The sequence below is a fragment of the Homo sapiens genome, chromosome 4 (assembly GCF_000001405.40).
Source record: "Homo sapiens chromosome 4, GRCh38.p14 Primary Assembly".
NCBI lineage: Eukaryota > Metazoa > Chordata > Mammalia > Primates > Hominidae > Homo > Homo sapiens.
In genome coordinates this window covers 68087564-68108740 of record NC_000004.12, presented here as the reverse complement: position 1 = coordinate 68108740, position 21177 = coordinate 68087564, and the positions used below count along the sequence as shown (strand labels likewise).

Sequence of the window (21177 nt, the reverse complement as noted above, 5' to 3'; positions counted from 1 at the left end):
TTTCTGAGGACAGAGAGCAAATAAATGGCATGCTGGTTCCTTATTTACAAGTCAAAGCCTACCCAGGAGTTGTATATATTGGAAAGATTTTATAGAGGTGACATTAGAAAAATGAAGGTGTGCTCATTGGGTACATGGCATGTAAAGGCTGGAGAACAGAATGCAAGAGACATCAGTAGGGGCTGGGTGACACATCATGCTGCCCAGGGCTCCATTATGGAGGATCTTCAGGATTTTGCTGAAGCGACTGTAGTCCGTGTGAAATTCAGCAGTTAATTCTTGCAAATGTGTCTCAGGGGTCCCTTCCAGTGGGCAGATTGCATACTGGCAGACTTCTGTACACCCTCTCCATCCCAGAACATCTTTGCTTTAAGTCTGTGTTATACACTAGAGTTCCATATAAGCATTAATTTGAGAATGATGTCACTACTTTCAAAATGTTTCATATCCACTGGATTATCATTTTTCTCTGCACAAACTAAAGACCTTGGCATCCTCCTTAACTCTTCTCTTTCTGTCATTTCTACAACCAATTCATCAGCAAATTCTGTCAGCTATAACTTCAAAATATATTCTGAATCCAGTTATATGTTCTGATTTCCTCGTTGCTAGCATCCTACTTCAAGTAGCCATCATCTCAGACCTGAACTATTGCAAGGGTCCCCTAATCAGTTTTGCTGCTTCCACTTTTCACATCTTCGCTGCTGCCCTCCATCCAGTGTATTATCCACAGGGTGATCCTTTTGAAAAGATCAGTCCCATCCACAGGGATCAAAACTCCAAAGTGGTTCTTTTTTTTAAATTTGAGACAGAGTCTCACTTTGTCTCCAGGCTGGAGTGCAGCGGCACAATCTCAGCTCACTGCAGCCTCTGCCTCCTGGGTTCAAGCGATTCTCCTGCCTCAGCCTCCCAAGTAGCTGGGACTACAGGCAAGTGCTACCACACCCAGCTAATTTTTCCATTTTTAGTAGAGATGGGGTTTCACCATGTTGGCCAGGATGGTCTTGATCTCTTGACCTCGTGATCTGCCCGCCTTGGCCCCTCAAAGTGCTGGGACCAAAATGGTTCTTATTGTGGCCTGCTGGATTATGATGTGGTCTATAATGATCTCTGACCCCATCATCTTCCCTCTTCCACTTGCACACTGCCTACTGGCCACACTGACCTTCTGCTCTTCTGCAAATTCACCAAGTCTGCTCCTACCTCAGGGTCCTTGTAATGACTATTTCTTTGCTGTAACATTTTCCCCTCAGATAGTTACATGGCTCCATCTTTCACCTTGTTCATGTCTCCACTTAGATATCACCTTTGCAGAGTGATCTCCCCTGATCACCTTAATCCTACCACCTCCCTCACTGTACCCTGGTTATTCTGTGTCCTCTTACTTGATACCTGACATTTATGTATAGATTTGTTTATTGCACAAACTATCTTTTCCATTGGGACACATAAAGGCAGTCTATATCCTTAGTACGGCCATATCCATAGTAACTAAATTAGTGTCTGGAACATAGTAGATGTCCAATGAACATGTACTAACTGAACATGTACTAAATGAATGAATGAAATTTATTTTTATTAATACTATACTTGGCAGTCATAGTAACTATAAAGTCTTCTTGAGGTGGAAAATGTGACCATTCTAATACAAGAAAACTGCAGAAATGCTGCTTGTATTTGTATGAATGAAATTAAGTGTTTAGTATTGTTACTTGTGTGACTGCTATCAGAGGTATAGCTGACCTTGCTGATACCATAGCATGAGAGTAGTGCTTCCAAGATGGTAATAGTGATTTTGAAAGTCAGCTATAAAGAGAGATAGATCTTGTACTGAATCTAGAACTCGAAGGTCTAAAAAATGTTTTCAAAGAAAATTTCAGAAAACTCATGAAATTATTATAACCAGTTTCTTTAAATGTCTTATATGTTTTACATTATATTCTATTATGTAAATAAGATTTAATATTTTCCCCCATGTACAGAGCTATTACACATTCCAATAAAGGAGCAGGATGCTATGCAATTTCTGCCCACACTCCACAATTTCACCTTTCTTCATTGACTGTTTTGTCAAACCAGTCATTTCTAGCTGATAGGAAGCTAATTTTGATGTATTAACTCATAGTTGTAACCCCTCCCCCCGCAGTTTCCCACCACTTTGCCAATTCTTGATGCTTCTGAAGTCACTTATCATAATGACATTTATAGAATATCCCCTCATATGCCTTTTGAGAAATCCAAGGACATTTTTTGCAATCCTCTGATTAGTGTTTCTTATCTTTGGAATTTTTATTGAGTCCAAAGCAAATTTTGCCTCCTCATGAAAATACCAGTGTCATCATGACTTAGATGGCTCTATCATTTTAAATGCTGCAACAACACAAGTAGCCCCTGCTTTTTACTATCTGTCTCCCGTTGCCAGTGTTTCTGACTCATGCTTTCCAATATTGCCAATAGACCTACCATAGAAAGAGATCTCCCAAAGGGAATCCCACTGCCATCCACAGAACTAAATTGGACTCTTTTGATGTGTACTCCATTACTGTGACTATTCGAGTTTTATTTCTATTTAAATTACCAAAAGGCTTTAGGTACTGTGTTCTGTTTATTTGAATAGATTTTTTTAATGATATGGACATAATAATGATAGTTATTTTATGTCTCATTACAACATTAATGTGATGTCACAACAATGTCATTTTATTTGGTGTCCACATAGAATTATTAATGGATAAAGCATAATCCCACAAGTTTTTTAACAGATGTATCGGTTTTATTTTAAATATTCTGTGTTTTTTTACCTTCAGACTATAGATCAAGATTTTAATTCTGCTGAGTGGTTAATATCTTAAAGCAGCTAAAATGGAGAATTTGGGTAGTAAATACTGATAGGTTTATATTCTTTATGTTTATGCTTCTAGACGTCATTTTGTTCATTTTGCAAGAAATTCAGAAACATTTATTTTTATACATTTTAAACAAAAATAATATTAGTGAGTAACTTTAACAGTAATTATACAGATTACTCTGGAGAAAATACAGAAATATTCTTAACTATAAACTGTCAGGTCATCTGAAGAATTATATTTAAAGAAAAGACCAAAAACAGAACAAAACAAATCCCTTTGCTTTAGGGATTGAAAGAAACAGGACTATCCACCAATTATTTACTGGTATTTATTATTTGTATTATTTTGGGTCTGACAAAGCCATGAAAGACTTTTATTCTTCATTTTACAGATGAGGAGATCGAAGTACAGAATTTAACTAGCTTGCTGATAGTAGCAAAGCCAGAATTAAACCCAGTCAACTTGTATTTATTTTGATCATAAAAACCCATCACTAGTTTAGAGGATATACGGACGTTTTCTGTTTAACTTTTAAAAAGTTTACTTACATGGAAGAGTAGGTTTGAGTTGTATATTTCTCATTTTTATTCCAATTTTACTTTAACATGAAGAAAGAAAATACAGCAAAACAAACATTTCCACCTTCAAAAGAACTAAATAACAAACACAATTTTATCTTTTAAAATAGATGCAATACAAAGTATGATAAAAGGTTGTTAATTTCCAACAAAGAAAAGCCCAGGACCAGATGGCTTCACAGCTGAATTTTGCCAAATATTTAAAGAAGAATTGATACCAATACTTCCCAAACTCTTGCAAAAAAAAAAAAAAAAAAAAAAAAACCTAGAGGGAATGATTTCTAACACATTTTACAAGGCCAGCATCACCTTGATACCTAAGAAGACAAAGACATCACAAGGAAAAAAAAAAAACCTACAAGCAAATTTCTTAGATAAACATTGATGCAAAAATGCTCAATAAAATATACTGAGTCCAGCAACACATCAAAAATATTATACATCATGATCAAGTGGGATTTAACTCTGGCATGCAAGGCTGGTTTAACATACATACATCAATCAATGTGATGCATCACATTAGTAGAATGATAGATAAAAGCCTCATGATTATCTTTATTGAAAATATCTCTGACAAAGTTCAACATTATTTCTTGATAAAAATTCTCAACAGTTTTGGAATAGAAGGTGTACTAGTCCATTCTCACACTGCTATGAAGAAATACCTGAGACTGAGTAATTTATAAGGGGAAGAGGTGTAATTGACTCACAGTTCTGCAGGGCTGGGGAGCCCTCAGGAAACTTATAATCATGGCAGAAGGTGAAGCAAGCATGTCCTTCGCATGGCAATGGCAGGGAGAAGTACAGCGTGAAGGCAGGGAAAAGCATCTTATAAAGCCATTAGATCTCATAAGAACTCACTCACTATCATGAGAACAGCATGGAGGTAACCACCCCCATGATTCAGTTACCTCCCACCAGGTCCCTCCTATGACATGTAGGGATAATGGGAACTACAATTCAAGATGAGATTTGGATGGGGACACAGCCAAACCACATCATAAAGGAAATTCCTCAACCCAATAAATGCCATTTATGAAAAACCTACAACCAATATCGTAATCAGTGGGGAAAAACTGAATGCATTTCCACCAACATCTGTAAAAAGCAAGAATGCCCACTCTTGCCACTTCTGTTCAACATAGTACTGGAACTACTGGCAAGAACAGTCATATAAGGAAAAGAAATAAATGGTATCCAAATCAGAAAGGAAGTAAAATTATTCTGACATGATCTTAAATGTATAAATCCCAAAGATGCCACAAAACACTATTAGAACTAATAAGTGAATTTTATAACGTTGCGGGGTACAAAATCAACATATGAAATCAGTATTATTTCAACACACAAATAACAACCTAATTGAAAAATAAATGAAGAAAACAATTCTATTTCCAATAGTATCAAAAATTTAAAAAGTAATATACCTAGGATAAATTTAACCAAGGAAGTGAAAGATCTGTATGCCAAAACTACAAAATACGAAAGAAATAAAGACAATACCAATAAATGGAAAGATATCCTATGTTCTGAATCAGAATTACTATTGTTAAAATGTCCATACTAGCCAAAGAAATATATAGATCTAACACAATCCCTATCGAAATCTCATTGGCATTCTTCATAGAAATAGAAAAAAATTCTCCCAAAGTTTGTATGGAGCCATAAAAGACCTTGAGTAGCCAAAATAATTCTGAGAATGAAAAAGTTTGAGGCATCACACTTTCTGATTTAAAATTGTATTACAAAGCTATGTTAATCAAAACAGTGTGATGCTGGCATAAAGACTAACAGGGCAGTAAAACAAAGTAGAGAGCTTAGAAATTAATCCAAACACATATGGTCAACTAATTTTTTTTTTTTTTTTTGAGACAGGGTCTCACTCTGTCACCCAAGCTGAAGTGCAGGGGCATGATCACAGCTCACTGCTCCTTTGACCTCCTGGGCTCAGGTGATCTTCCCATCTCAGCCTCTTAAGTATCTGGGACTACGGGCATGTGCCACCACAACTGACTATTTTTTTAAGTATTTTTTTTGTAGAGACAGAGTTTTGCCATGTTGTCCAGGCTGGCCTGAAACTCCTGGACTGAAGTGATCCACCCACTTTGGCCTTTCAAAGTGTTGGGACTGTAGGCATGAGCCACTGTGCCTGGCCGTGGTCAACTAATTTTTGACAAGGGCATCACAAGGACACAATAAGGAAAGGATAGTTTCTGAATAAGTGGTATTGGTACCAATAAATGGTACTGGTATGGTAAATTAAACAAGATTTCCACATGCAAAAGAATGCAATTAAAACCTACCTTACACCTTACAAAAAAAAAAAAAACAACTCAAAATTGGATAAAAGACCTAAATAGAAGACCAGAAACTACAAAACTTTCAGAAGAGAACATAGGGTAAAAGCTCCTGGACATTGGCCTTGGCAGTGATTTTTTGGGTATCACACCAAAAGCTCAACCCACAAAAGCAAAAATAAATAAGCAGAACAACATCAAACTTAAAAGCTTCTACACAGCAAAAGAAACAATTGATAAAATGAAAAAGCAGCCCACAGATTGGGAAAAATATTTGCAACCGTATGTCTGAGAAAGGGTTAATATCTGCAATTTATAAACAACTCATACAACCCAATAGTGGGGAAAAATAACCTGATTAAAAAATGTGCAAAAGACCTGAATAGACATTTCTCTAAAGAAGACATAAAAATGGTCAACAGTATATGAAAAGGTTCTCAACATCATTAATCATCAAAAAAATGTAAATTAAAACTAACATGAGATACCACCTCACACTCCTTAGGATGGCTATTACCAAAAAGTCAAAAGGTAACAAATGTTGACCAGGGTATGGAGAAAAGGGAACCTAGGACAGTGTTGCTGAGAATGTAGATTGGTACAGACATTTTTAAAAACAGTATGGAGGTTTCTAAAGAAATTAAAAATATAACTACCATACGACTCAGCAATCTCTCTTCTGGGCTTATACTCAAAGGAAATGAAATCGTCATCTGGTAAAGATATCTGCACTCCCATATTCATTGCTGCATTATTCACAATAGCTGAGATACGGAAACAGCCTAAGTGTCCATTGACAGATGGATAAGGAAGTTGTGGTAAATATATACAATGGAATTTTCCTGAGCCCCCCAAAAAACCAAGATCCTGCCATTTGCCATGCGTGGATGAGCCTGGAGGATATTAGCTAAGTGACATAAGCCAGAAACAGAGAGAAAAATATTGCATTATCTCTTAGATGTGTAATATTTTTTAAAAAATAAAAAATACAGAGATGCAAACAAAATGGTGGTTATAGGGGCAATTAAATGGGGAGATGTCAGCCAGAGGATACAAAGTAGCAGATATGTAGGATGGAAAGTCTGGAGATCTAATGTACAACATGAGGACTATAGGTAATAAAATTGTATTCTATGTAGGATTCATGCTAAATGAGTAGATTTTAGCTGCTGTTGCCACAAAAACAAACAAAAAATGGTTACTAGGTGAGATAAAGGATAAGTGAATTTGTTTCACTATAGAAACCTCTGAACTATCTATATGTATTCCTTAACATCATGTTATATCCTTTAAATATGCACAATAAAATTTATTTTTCTAAAAAAATGCTGTTGAAAGGTTCCATTTAGCATCCAACTCATTCGGGTTTAAATGAACAAAAAATTGTCATGTACAAATCAGGAGAAACATATAGGAATTTTAAAGGCATTAGGGAATTTAAATGTCATCTAAATAATCTTTTTCAAAGCTTAAACCATTTATACATCTAACAAATATATCTAAAATATAGTCAAAATCTCAAAGTTTCTTGCATAATTAAGAATGCACTTAATATATTTTGTTTTATTTATTATGCTTATTACAGGCTTTTCACAACAGCCTAACCAACACATTTCTTAACAATTTTCTGAACACTTTGTTATTTTATTATGACCTTTTTTCCACAATTAGGGTAAACCTCACTTCCTTTGCACTTGGCTGGTGTCTGCATACTGTACCTGCCAGCTACACTTCAAAACACATAAATGGGCATTTGGTAAAACTTATTTCAACTTCCACATTAGACAGAAGGCAACATTCCAGTTACATCAGACTGAAAATAGCTAATCACTAGGCAGAAGAAACTTATTTTAAAATCAAATGTGACTATGATTTTTTAAAAAGTCCCTTTACAACAATGCAGTGCTACCATAATGTGATATTTGGCTATCAACCCCTTACATTTTATTAAACTTGATTCTTGTTATTTCGTGCTTCTTGAAGGGATCAGAGTATAGTAATGAAACCTACAAAACTAAGGGGGAAAAGGAATGGGAATAATAAAGTAATTACAGCAGCCATAATATTCACAAGCTACATACTCAAACTACTTATTGCCATAGATTTTGGAAATAGAGACTTCGATTATGGGTGAGAGGAATGGTGTTTCACATGAGTACATAGTAACTTTTTCATTTTTTTTCTAGGTTATGTAATTCTAACCTTAACAGTTGCTTTATTAGAATCATATAAACAGATATTAGTGACACAACTAAAATAAAATAAGTCAAAGAGAAAGGCCGTAAAACAGATACTTTTCATTTGGTTCAGACCCAGACCCAAGTCTAAGGACAGCAAATTGCTCTTTATTAACTATATTGATGTCTTTATTGGAAACACTATTCTCCTTTAATATTCCTCATCTTGCCTGGAGTCACAGTCATTTACCTGGACGTCCAAACAAGTGGGCCATTAATCCTTTTCTTGTCCCACAGCTGATCAATCATTCAACAAAGTTCAAGAACTACAACTAAATCCATCGCCTCCTCTCCACCCCATTCCATAGCCTCAGTTCAGGTCCTCACAGTCTCCTTCCTGGACCATCAATATGACCTCTAAACTGGTCTACCTGTCTGCACTCTTGCCTTAATCCCCATCCTCATTCACATCTGTGTGACTTTTCTAAATCTTCGAAACTCTTCAATCTAATTAAAATTTTCTATTGGCTTTCCACCTCCTCCAGAGTAAATTTCCAGGTGCTTACTTTGGGTTATGAGACTCCCAGTCCACCAGCTCTACCATATCCTCTTCCCAGAATTGCAGTCTTGTGAAAGACTTGCAATCTTGAACATATATTGAGACAATAAATTCTTAGAGGACAAAAGTCATGTTTTATTTATGTTTTTACCCCCTATTAGTAATGAATCCTGTTTCACATTCCTCCCTTCCCCCCAACGCCCCACATGCTATTTTCTCTGTCCTTTTTTTTTTTTTGACCTGGTGAGCTTTTATTCCTCAAAGTTGTAATCATGTCACTTTCTTAATAAAATCTCCTGACAAAACCCTTCAAAAAGTTTAGTGCTCCCTCTTCTTGTACAAATTTATTTTGGCACAATTCACACTATATAATAACTACTTGTTTCCATGTCTGTTTCCCCTTTTAAAGTGTGGGCATCCCAAAGACAAAGAGTTTATCTTAAAATCTGTATACATTTAGGGATCTAGAACAGTTTCTGAAACATTATTTTGATGTGGTAGGTCCTATTCTATGGACTTTTTCATGATCTCATTTAATGAAACAAGTTCACAATAAATATTGATTAAGTAAAGAGAAAAGCATAAAGTCATTTACAGAAAAATTTCACTTGAAAGATATCACAATATTGAATCTTATTTGAGAATTTAGACAATAAAGTAAATAAATAGCAACTTTCAAGTTGGAAAAAGGTAAATGATGTAAGATATTTTTGAGTAATGGAGGTAATGCACCAGTGGGGTCATGTGAGTCAAATGTAAGTGAAGGATGCTCATGAGTGGTGGAATCTTACTAAGTACAATTCACCATTTTTTTATTTCACTGGGAGGTGCTAGTAAATGAAAAGAGCCATGATCAGGTCTTCCAAAGTAATGTTGCTACTTGTACAACATGCCATTAAGAAATTGTTAAGGTTATTTTAAAAGTAGTTATATTAAAATCTAAAAGCCAGTCTTTGTGTTTCACTACCAAAGTTTTAAATTGCCAATAAGCCGGATAAAATGCCGTGGGAAGATATCCTCACTTGAATGTCAACATCAGCAGAACTTTGTCTAAACCTCACTCTGTGATTGGGTTTTTGCGGGGGAGGATATGCAAATTAAAACCTACTGTTCTTTTCAAGGTCTAAGTTGCTCACTGTTATTTAGCAGTATAAACTATTTTCATAGAGGAACATAGTAAGTAAACATAAAGTTGAACTATAATGAATTTTTATTGTCTCTATTTTCTTTCTGTTATCACAGACCTGTTGAATTTTCAGAAGCTGAATTCTCACGAGCTGAATATCAAAGAAAGCAGCAATTTTGGGACTCAGTACGGCTAGCTCTTTTCACATTAGCAATTGTAGCAATCATAGGAATTGCAATTGGTATTGTTACTCATTTTGTTGTTGAGGGTAAGTATCCAGGTCACAGTTCCATTGCCTAAGTACTCCATGACTTCGTATCTTGAAATTTTCTGTTGTATAAAAAGTGACATTTGCATGATATTAACATTTTAATTACCAGTCTTTTACTGATGTTAAATTATAGTTTGCTTCTGTATTGAGCTCTGTGTTACATATTTCCACCCAGTTAACTTTGTAATAAGCATGGCATTGATAGACGTATCTAAAAGAAATACATAAAAAAGAGAAAGAAGAATGAAAAGATCATCTTTCGCATAAAGACAAATTACATAATGTGCTGAGAGTTTAGTATACTCTTTTCAGAATCAGTATATTAATGAGTTGCCTCAAGAAAAGCTCAGGATATAAGAAGAGTTATCTGAAAAATACCTTTAAAGGGCTAAAGATCAAGCATTATTTTTGAAGAAAAAAACAGATTTTTTTATGACTGTGGGAAGAAGGAAAAGCTCAGTATTACTTCCTAATTATATATGCAAAAATGGAGAGTCAGTATCATAGTTGAGCCAAATGACAATCAACTAAGATTCATTTACCTTCGTCTTTGGTTTCTGTATTTTCCTCTTTTTTTTTGAGACAGATTCTTGAGTTATCACCCAGGCTGGAGTGCAGTCGCACGATCCCGGCTCATTGCAACCTCCACTTCCCAGGTTCAAGAAATTCTCCTGCCTCAGCCTCCTGAGTAGCTAGGATTATAGGCACCTGCCACTACACTCGGTTAATTTTTGTATTTTTAGTAGAGTTGGGGTTTCACCATGTTGGCCAGGCTGGTCTCAAACTTGTGACCTTAGGTGATCCACTCGACCCAGCCTCCCAAAGTGCTGGGATTATAGACATCAGCCACCATGCCCCGCCGATTTCTGCATTTTTAATCACAGGTGATTGAGACTTAAAATTTTAGGCACTCATATCAGTCATAGCAATAAACCACATTTGAAAGATCCGAAGAAGAAATGAAATATTGTCCAACATGCCCAGTTTACCTTCCTACCCTCATTATTGGGGGATTGTTAATAGCCATTCCTTAGACTCTCATAAAATGAAAGCATAAGCCAAGTTACTCTATACAATTTTATCTTTTGTTAGTATTTTCTTTGGGTTAGAAGGTAATGAAATAGTTTTGTTTTTAAAATGCCCTTCACTCCCAATGCTTAAAAACGAAAAAAAAATGAAGGGATAGTAAAAATAATGACAAAAAAAGCATTTTAGCCATTAAAAAAATCTTAGAGGTTGTCATAGGCTGAATAATGCCCCATTCCCATGCCAAGATGTCCATGTCCTAATTGTTAGAATCTGTGAATGTTACCTTATGTAGCAAAAAGGCCTTTCCAGATGTCATTAAACTAATAATTTTGAGATGGGACTTTATCCTGGATATTTTGGATAGGTCCTAAATATAACTGCAAGGGTCCTAATAAAAGGGAGGAAAGAAGGTCAAAGGAGGAAGAACAACAAAAGCAAGAGGAGAATGGGAGGATGTAAAATGGGACCATCAGCAAAGGAATGAGGGTAGTCTCTAGAAAAAGGCAAAAAATAAATTCTCGCCTTACAGCGTCTAGAAGGAACCAGCTCTGCCAACTTTTTGATTTTAGCTTTGTAAAACTCACATATGATATATATGACCTCCAGAACTGTAAGAGTATAAATTCGTGTTGTTTTAAGTCACCAAACCTACAGTAATTTGTTATAGCAGCAATAGACAACTAATACAGAGGTTAACACCCAAGGATTTGAGTGTTCTATCTCCAAGTCTTTCCTGACTGCAGATAATTGAAAAGTTGCCTGACTGCAGATGGACATTTAGGAAAAGACAGGAGAAGGTAGACCATGACAAAAGTTAAACAAGTAGAATGGGATAAAATAGAGGTATATAAGATGATGCAGTTTTTAAAAGGAACATACCTATTTTTATAGCAGAAAGAATTCAGTAAAGGAAATTACATTCTAGTAACCAGGGAAACAACAGAGGACAAGTTATTTCTAAAATATTACTTTTATAGATTGTACATGAATAGATCTGAAAGACAGTGGAGTAAAAATTATCAATAATTGTAAAATAATCACAATAGAAATAAGGATTTCAGCAGACATAGTGGTAAAAGTCACATCACCAGGATGGAAGTGTATTTGATGGAGTTATTTTTATTCTAAAGATTTCAGTAATTATGAATGATCGGCTTTCAGTGCATTATAATTCTGACCAATTATCCACTGTTTTTAAAACTGGGCAATTTTAAAATAAGAATTAATAAAATCAGTGACTTTTGAATATGGTTGATTTATCAGTGCCCTTCAGCCAGGGATCACAGGAATACATCTTCAGATATATACAAGGGAAAAAGAACATATGCCATGGAGAACCACAGGCTGCGCAGTAAAACATTGTTTAAACGTTCTCAGGTTTTATTTTTACAACTCCATAAAATTTTTCAATGCTACTTGGGTATCATTTTAAAAAACAATTACTGTGTTATTAATTGACTATTAAATGCTTGATAGAATTCATGCCTCTATTTATTACTTGACATGATGAAAAGGCTTTTAGATTAATGTGTGCTTATTATCCTCAGGATTTCCATTTGGATTCTTATTGATTATTTCCTCAAAGAGAAAGAAAATGTCTTAAAACGAAATCGTATTTGAACATTAAATGAGTATAACAGCATTGTACGTATTTTTTTGAGGCTTGCATCTACTCAACATTGTTGCAAGCATCATCTGCCTTGTTGAAGGCAGCTTTAGTCTGGTTTTTTTTTTAAATTATTGACTGATATTCATTATCTTAAATATTCCATAATTTACTTATCTATTCAAATACTTATAGACATTTGGGTTGTTCCAGGTTTTAGTCATTAAAGCAATACTGCTGTAAATATTTTTATACACAGATCTTGTACACACATCCAAGAGTTTGTCTAGGAACTATGCAGATGCAGAACCACTGGGTCATTGGACATATGCTTTTTTTTTTTTTTTTTTTTTGAGATGGAATCTTGCTCTGTTGCCTAGCCTGTAGTGCAATGGCACAGTCTTGGCTCACTGCAACCTCTGCCTCCCGGGTTCAAGCAATTCTTCTGCCTCAGCCTCCCAAGTAGCTGGGATTACAGGCACCCGCCACCATGCCCAGATAATTTTTGTGTTTTTAGTAGAGATGGGGTTTCACCATGTTGGTGAGGCTGATCTCTAACTCCTGACCTCGTGATCTGCCCGACTTGGCCTCCCAAAGTGCTGGGATTACAGGCATGAGCCACCGCTTCTGGCCAGGGCATGTGCTTTTTTATCATCATGGATAATACCAAACTGTTTTCTACCAGCAGTGCATCTCAGTTCCCATTGCTCCATATCCTCACCAACATTTAGTGTTGCCATAGTTTTTTATATTTGCTAATTTGGTGTAGGATATAGCATTATCCTCATAATCTTAATTTGCATTTATCTGTTCTACAATGATGTAGAGGATCTGTCCATGTCTCAGTCGCTCATTTGGATTTTCTGCTATTGTGAAGTGCCTTTTTAAGTCGTTTTCCCATTTTGTATTGAGTCATCTGTTTTTTCTTATTGATTTCAAAGAGTTCTCTCTGGATATATATATTCATTGTCAGTTGTATGTATTAGAAATGTCCTCTTCCAGTGAAAAATTTTGTACACACATATGTATACACAAATCTTATATATAATACATATTATGTGTTATACATATAATATACATATATTTTTATGTATTATGATGATGTATATATATATATAAAATGCTGCCTTCATAACTGTGTGAAGCTCTTTCGAGATTAATGAATAAAATAACATTCACTACCATTCACATGAATTATGACACTAACTAAAAAAATTCAAACACTGAATTTGCCAGTTGTCTCAGTATTTTTTGTGTTTGTTGGTTTTGTTGTTTAGTTACTGGAATTATATAGTAAATTATATTTTCAACAAGCATTTTCATGACCCAGATAAATTTTTCAGGATTTTTAAGAATCAATTGTTATACCACTTGTTATGGGGTAAAAAAAATGCTTTATAGAGTTGCATGAAATATTTTAAAGATTTTACTATTTAGAATTATGTTTTAACAAAATCCAGAAACCCAATTATCTAAAGCTGTTTTTGAAGTTTGGTTTCTTGAAAACCTAAAGAGTAAAATTTGCATTGAGATAGCATCACTTGTCTTCCTGTTCTATAGGGCTGGATCCACTTCCAGGAATGTAGGGATTATATTTTCCCACAAAATATTATTCTCCCATGAAATCCCAAGAGCCAAGCATACCTTGATTTTATTTATTTATTTATTTATTTATTTTTAAATTTATTTATTTATTATTATTATACTTTAAGTTTTAGGGTACATGTTCACAATGTGCAGGTTAGTTACATATGTATACATGTGCCATGCTGGTGCGCTGCACCCACTAACTGGTCATCTAGCCTTAGGTATATCTCCCAATGCTATCCCTCCCCCCTCCCCCCACCCCACAACAGTCCCCAGAGTGTGATGTTCCCCTTCTTGTGTCCATGTGTTCTCATTGTTCAATTCCCACCTATGAGTGAGAATATGCGGTGTCTGGTTTTCTGTTCTTGCGATAGTTTACTGAGAATGATGATTTCCAATTTCATCCATGTCCCTACAAAGGACATGAACTCATCATTTTTTATGGCTGCATAGTATTCCATGGTGTATATGTGCCACATTTTCTTAATCCAGTCTATCATTGTTGGACATTTGGGTTGGTTCCAAGTCTTTGCTATTGTGAATAATGCCGCAATAAACATATGTGTGCATGTGTCTTTATAGCAGCATGATTTATAGTCATTTGGGTATATACCCAGTAATGGGATGGCTGGGTCAAATGGTATCTCTAGTTCTAGATCCCTGAGGAATCGCCACACTGACTTCCACAATGGTTGAACTAGTTTACAGTCCCACCAACAGTGTAAAAGTGTTCCTATTTCTCCACATCCTCTCCAGCACCTGTTGTTTCCTGACTTTTTAATGATTGCCATTCTAACTGGTGTGAGATGGTATCTCATTTTGGTTTTGATTTGCAGTTCTCTGATGGCCAGTGATGGTGAGCATTTTTTCATGTGTTTTTTGGCTGCATAAATGTCTTCTTTTGAGATGTGTCTGTTCATGTCCTTCGCCCACTTTTTGATGGGGTTGTTTGTTTTTTTCTTGTAAATTTGTTTGAGTTCATTGTAGATTCTGGATATTAGCCCTTTGTCAGACGAGTAGGTTGCAAAAATTTTCTCCCATTTTGTAGGTTGCCTGTTCACTCTGATGGTAGTTTCTTTTGCTGTGCAGAAGCTCTTTAGTTTAATTAGATCCCATTTGTCAATTTTGGCTTTTATTGCCATTGCTTTTGGTGTTTTAGACATGAAGTCCTTGCCCATGCCTGTGTCCTGAATGATAATGGCTAGGTTTTCTTCTAGGGTTTTTATGGTTTTAGGTCTAATGTTTAAGTCTTTAATCCATCTTGAATTGATTTTTGTATAAGGTGTAAGGAAGGGATCCAGTTTCAGCTTTCTACATATGGCTAGCCAGTTTTCCCAGCACCATTTAGGTGATCTTCAGCAAACTTCTTTTCTACTTCACTAAGCTTCAGTACTCTTATATAAAGGGGTATACTATTATTTTTACTTCAGAAAATTGTTGTGATTATTAAATTAGATTTGTGTTTTCACACAGTGCATGGTATGTAGTAATTTCTCACAAATATTTGCCATTATTAAATTCGATTTCTACAATGGCTTCCTAATTGATCTTTTATAAAACCTTATTTAATGTTGAATTTCTTCACTGGTGAAATGAGCTGAGCATATAATAAAGATTCAATAAATGGCAAATATCATGTTCTCTGCATATAAGGACAATTCAATAAAGGAAAGGTATTATTAATTAAGACAAAAGTTCAACATTAACATAATTGCTATAGTATAGTGACTAATATAGTTATGCTTCATATATAACTTATATTTTTAGCACTTTTAAAAGCACTTAAAGTATATATTAAAATCACTTTTACTTCTACGAGATTCCAGAATATGCTTTTGCCTAACATGGAAATTCTTAAAGACAATATAGGGATATGTATATGATAATGAATAGAATAGCTGTGTCACTCTGGGATCAATCTTAATTTTAATCTTTTTTTTGTAATAAAACTTTAATTGTGAAATCTTATCAAGATGTGCCTTGAGAAATAGCTTGAATTCATTAAATTTAATAAGATAATATATGTGAGAGTTGATTAGACAGTTTAGTGTTTGTTAGGAACTTGGTAAATATTGATTAATTCATCCACGCATCCATCAGTAAAAATAAAGAAATAACAATTGTCAGCAAAACAGCCAAATAGATTGTAAACTGTTGTGGTAAAATGTCACCCTGATTCATATTTCTTGACATCTCATTTTGAATGAACAAAATGTATTTTTTTAAAGAAGTAAGATAATGCTTAGAATCAATTTTGTAAGTGGAACAAAAAGATACAAAATTGTGATGATAAGCTATCTCAGCCAAGTAAAACAATTATTTTAACAGAATAAATAACAACCACAATTAAAACATCAATTACTTCTAGATATTACACTTACAGATTTTCATCCTCTTGTATATAATTTTCTGGTCATTCCAGATTTTCTGATACAGCATTTATGATCTAAAAAATGTTTTTAAATGAATGTTTGTTTTTAACATTTAAAAAAATTTAAATGAATATTTAAATGTTTTCAACATTGAAAAAATGTTTTAAAATGAATGTTTAAAATGCAGTAAGAGATTGGAGATCTGGCCAGGTGCGGTGGCTCACACCTGTAATCCCAGCACTTTGGGAGGCCTAGGCTCATGGATCACTTGAGGTCAGGAGTTCGAGACCAGCCTGGACAACATGGTGAAACTGTTCTCTACTAAAAATACAAAAATTAGTCGGGTGTAGTGGCGTCCCCCTGTAATCCCAGCTACTCAGGAAGCTGAGTCAAGAGAATCACTTGAACCTAGGAGGTGGAGGTTGCAGTGAGCTGGAATAGTGTCACTGCACTCCAGCCTGGGCAACAGAGTGAGACTCCATCTCAAAAAGATAGATAGATAGATAGAGAGAGAGAGAGAGAGAGAGAGAGAGAGAGAGAGATTAGAGATTAAATGGGTTATAGTTACAGGATTTAAAGACTGAAAAATTAATTGGATATTGGAAATGAGGATGAAACCAAGCCTTGGGTGACCATGTGGATATTAGGGCTGTTCACAAAGATAGAAAATATAGGAAGTGGAGCAGGTTTAAGTAAATAAGGGAGTAAATGATTATTTCACTTTGGAAATATATTAGAGGTGCCTATTTAATGTGCAATAAGCAGTCTTCTGAAGTCAGTTGATGTAGAATTGAAACTCATGACAAAGGTTTGGTCTAAAGATAAAGAATTTAGGAGTCATCAATAAATAGTTAGTGGGTAAGGCCATCCCAGTTAAGATTACCAAAAAGTACTTAATATGACCAGGTCAAAGATAGAATCTTTGAATGCCAAGGAGAAGGGTGGAAATAAAGAGCTCACCAAGGTGACTGCGACGTATGGCCAGGGAGGTGGAAGAAAACTAGAAGATGGCTTCATAAAACCAAAGATAGGTTTTCAGGGAACATGATGAAGGCTACAAGGAAATCAAGGAGTAAAACAAACAAACAAAACCATGAAAGACATTACAATGGTTGTCCTTGAAAAAGACAGCTTTAGTGGTGTGTTAGGAACAGATTGCAGAGAATTAGGGAGTGAATGGGAAAAAAAGAAGGTGAAAACAATAAATATGGACTTCTACTTAAGTAAGCTTAGCAGTAGCATAAAAAAATTTGACAGCTTGTTCAGTGTATCTTCATAATACAGCTTATATCTGATATACCTGTTAGCAATTCTTTGAGGGAACTGATGACATTTACATGACTTTCAGCAATTGCTTTCGATATTATCTTTCCACTGTATGTTGCATGTCCAATTTTATGAATATTTTGATATGCATAAATATCTATAATGGAGTGTTATGTATGAGTACTTTGGGATCAGAATTTTTTATTTTAACCAGCAGCAGTGGTGAAATTACAGAGTATTTGAGAAGTGTCTTCAAGAATTTTTACACTAAGTAGAAATAAACTGCATTATTGTAGCCTATTTAGCAGGTGTGGGCAAGACGTAGGGGACAAAACAACTTATTACCTTTAACCATGAGACTTTTGTTTGTTTTACCTTTCAGATGATAAGTCTTTCTATTACCTTGCCTCTTTTAAAGTCACAAATATCAAATATAAAGAAAATTATGGCATAAGATCTTCAAGAGAGTTTATAGAAAGGAGTCATCAGATTGAAAGAATGGTAAGCTCAACAGAAATTTTAAATGTTTATTAATGTGTCTTTTGCATCACTTTGAATGTGGGTGTTATATAGGAACTTAGTCTCAATTTCTTCTTTTGCATAATGGAGATACTATAGTATGTAAGTCATACAGTTGTGAGGATTAAATTACTTAATATGTATAAAATATTCAGTATACTGTGTGCACCATCAAATGTATATAGTAGATTAGAGTAGGCAACTAACTCCTGAGAAATTGTTGGTTGAAACAAATGTTTCTCTATTTTTAACTCTTGATTTTATCGTTTTCGATTCATTTTCTTTATTCTTTTTTAACATAAGAATATAGAGTTGCCACAATCAGCTTACCGGTTTGTTTATTTTGACAGCACTTAAAAAGATTATATAAAAGGACGTGGTATAGCTATAATTCTTGATATTAATCTTAGATCTAGTTATGACTTACATATTTTGCTTTTTAAATAGCTTATGTATTTATCAAGTTATTTGTAATTTTTTAAGTATATTGGGTGAGCCATCTCCTTAACTGTCATAGCAGAAAGGCAAAGAGAATAGTCTTCCATTTTTTGTCCCATGAAAAGCATGGCTATGGAGATCATAGATTTGTTTAGCAAAATTCAGTATATTAGCTTGGATTGTAGTCTTTTAAACTTATAAGAGTTATTCTAGAACCAAGAATTAATGGCCAAATAGAGCACTATGTTAATATGATTCTTTATGATTAGCTTTAGACACTGATCTCCTTTAATAAAATAGGAGAACTTTAGCATTCCCATTCTCCCTCACTGTACTATCCTTTCTCTGTATTATTCACAATGTGAGAAAATATTTACAATTTATCCTGTTATTTACATAAGTTGATTCTAAATGTTGAAAAGCAATAAGAGCATTTCCATTTCCATGGCTATTCAAATAGCGTTTTTGTTTTTTACAATTATTACCACAGTTCTTATGCCATTCAAATAATGTTCCTGGAATTAAGTATGAATATATTTTCTCTCTCTTTCATGTGTGTGTAACACCTCTACCATTTTACTGTATTATCAGACATTTCCAAGGTCTTGATATTTCTTTAAATCTTCTTTTCTAAAACTTTATGTTTCCTGTTCAATTTCAACTAGTTGCGCTGTAGGTCCACTTTACAAAGGTAAACCTAACCAGGACAGGACTGCACCCTTTTGTGAGATCCATTGCTTCTTGCATCCCTGTTTTCATTGATATAGTAAGATATGCCCTCAAGTACCTTTACTAAGAAAAAGTTCATGGGATGTAAAATTTATGAATTATTTCATACTGAAAAAATCCTGTATTCTATATTTCACTCAGTTGAAAGTTTGGATGCACAACTTTAAATCGAAAATCATTTCCCTAAAAGTTCATGTAATGTGATGCCTCTGCCATTTTTCTTTTTGCTTAGGATTGCTTTGGTGATTTGGACCCTTTTTTGGTTCCGTGTAAGTTTCAGAATAGTTTTTTTTTTTCTAATTCTGTAAAAAGTGATCTTGGTACTTTGATAGAAATAGTGTTAAATCTCTAAACTGCTTTGGGCAGTATGGTCATCTTAATGGTGTTGATTCTTCCAATCCATGATCATGTCCATGAGACAACGTTTGTTTTGTCTCTGATTTCTTTCAGCAGTGTTTCGTAGTTCTCCTTGTAGGGATCATTTACCTCTTCGATTAGATATATTCCTAGGTATTTTATTCTTTTTGTGGCTATTGTAAATGGGATTGCATCTTGATATTGCTGTCAGCTTGAACATTATTGGTGTTTTAAAATGCTACTAATTTTAATCCCGAGTTCTAGTTTGATTGCACTGTGGGCTGAGAGATAGTTTGTTATAATTTCTGTTATTTTACATTTCCTGAGGAGAGCTTTACTTCCAAGTATGTGGTCAATTTTGGAATAGGTGTGGTGTGGTGCTGAAAAAAATGTATATTCTGTTGATTTGGGATGGAGAGTTCTGTAGATGTCTGTTAGGTCCGCTTGGTGCAGAGCTGAGTTCAATTCCTGGGTATCCTTGTTGACTTTCTGTCTCGTTGATCTGTCTAATGTTGACAGTGGGGTGTTAAAGTCTCCCATTATTAATGTGTGGGAGTCTAAGTCTCTTTGTAGGTCACTCAGGACTTGCTTTATGAATCTGGGTGCTCCTGTATTGGGTGCATATATATTTAGGATAGTTAGCTCCTCTTGTTGAATTGATCCCTTTACCATTATGTAATGGCCTTCTTTGTCTCTTTTGATCTTTGTTGGTTTAAAGTCTGTTTTATCAGAGACTAGGATTGCAAACCCTGCCTTTTTTTGTTTTCCATTTGCTTGGTAGATCTTCCTCCATCCTTTTATTTTGTGCCTATGTGTGTCTCTGCACATGAGATGGGTTTCCTGAATACATCACACTGATGGGTCTTGACTCTTTATCCAATCTGCCAGTCTATATACACCATGGAATACTAAGCAGCCATAAGAAATGCTGAGTTCATGTCCTTTGTAGGGACATGGATGAAATTGGAAATCATCATTCTCAGTAAACTATCGCAAGAACAAAAAACCAAACACCACATATTCTCACTCATAGGTGGGAACTGAACAATGAGAACACATGGACACAGGAAGGGGAACATCACACTCTGAGGACTGTTGTGGGGTGGGGGGAGGGGGGAGGGATAGCACTGGGAGATATACCTAATGCTAGATGATGAGTTAGTGGGTGCAGCACACCAGCATGGCACATGTATACATATGTAACTAACCTGCACATTGTGCATATGTACCCTAAAACTTAAAGTATAATAATAAATAAATAAATAAATAAATAAATAAATAAAATGCTACTAATTGTTTTATGTTGATTTTTTGTATCCTGAAACTTTAATGAAGTTTATCGATTCTGGGAGCTTTTTTTGTGAAGTCTTTGTTTCTATACATAGAATTGTATCATTTGTGAAGATAGATTATTTAA

At 34.8% G+C, this 21177-nt stretch overlaps 1 protein-coding gene across 4 annotated transcripts in view; it reads left to right on the top strand.

Annotated features, from left to right (window-relative positions):
- TMPRSS11F (transmembrane serine protease 11F) overlaps window positions 1–21177 on the top strand; it is a 76672-nt gene that overhangs the window by 21129 nt on the left and 34366 nt on the right. For 2 of the 4 annotated variants that reach the window (NM_207407.2, XM_011531935.2), the window contains exons 2-3: window positions 9703–9854; window positions 18100–18218. In NM_207407.2, the coding sequence (NP_997290.2) occupies window positions 9703–9854; window positions 18100–18218 (271 nt within the window). Of the gene's footprint in view, window positions 1–9702; window positions 9855–18099; window positions 18219–21177 lie in introns of those variants that run through there. The other 2 variants (XM_047415669.1, XM_047415670.1) reach the window with 2 other exon arrangements.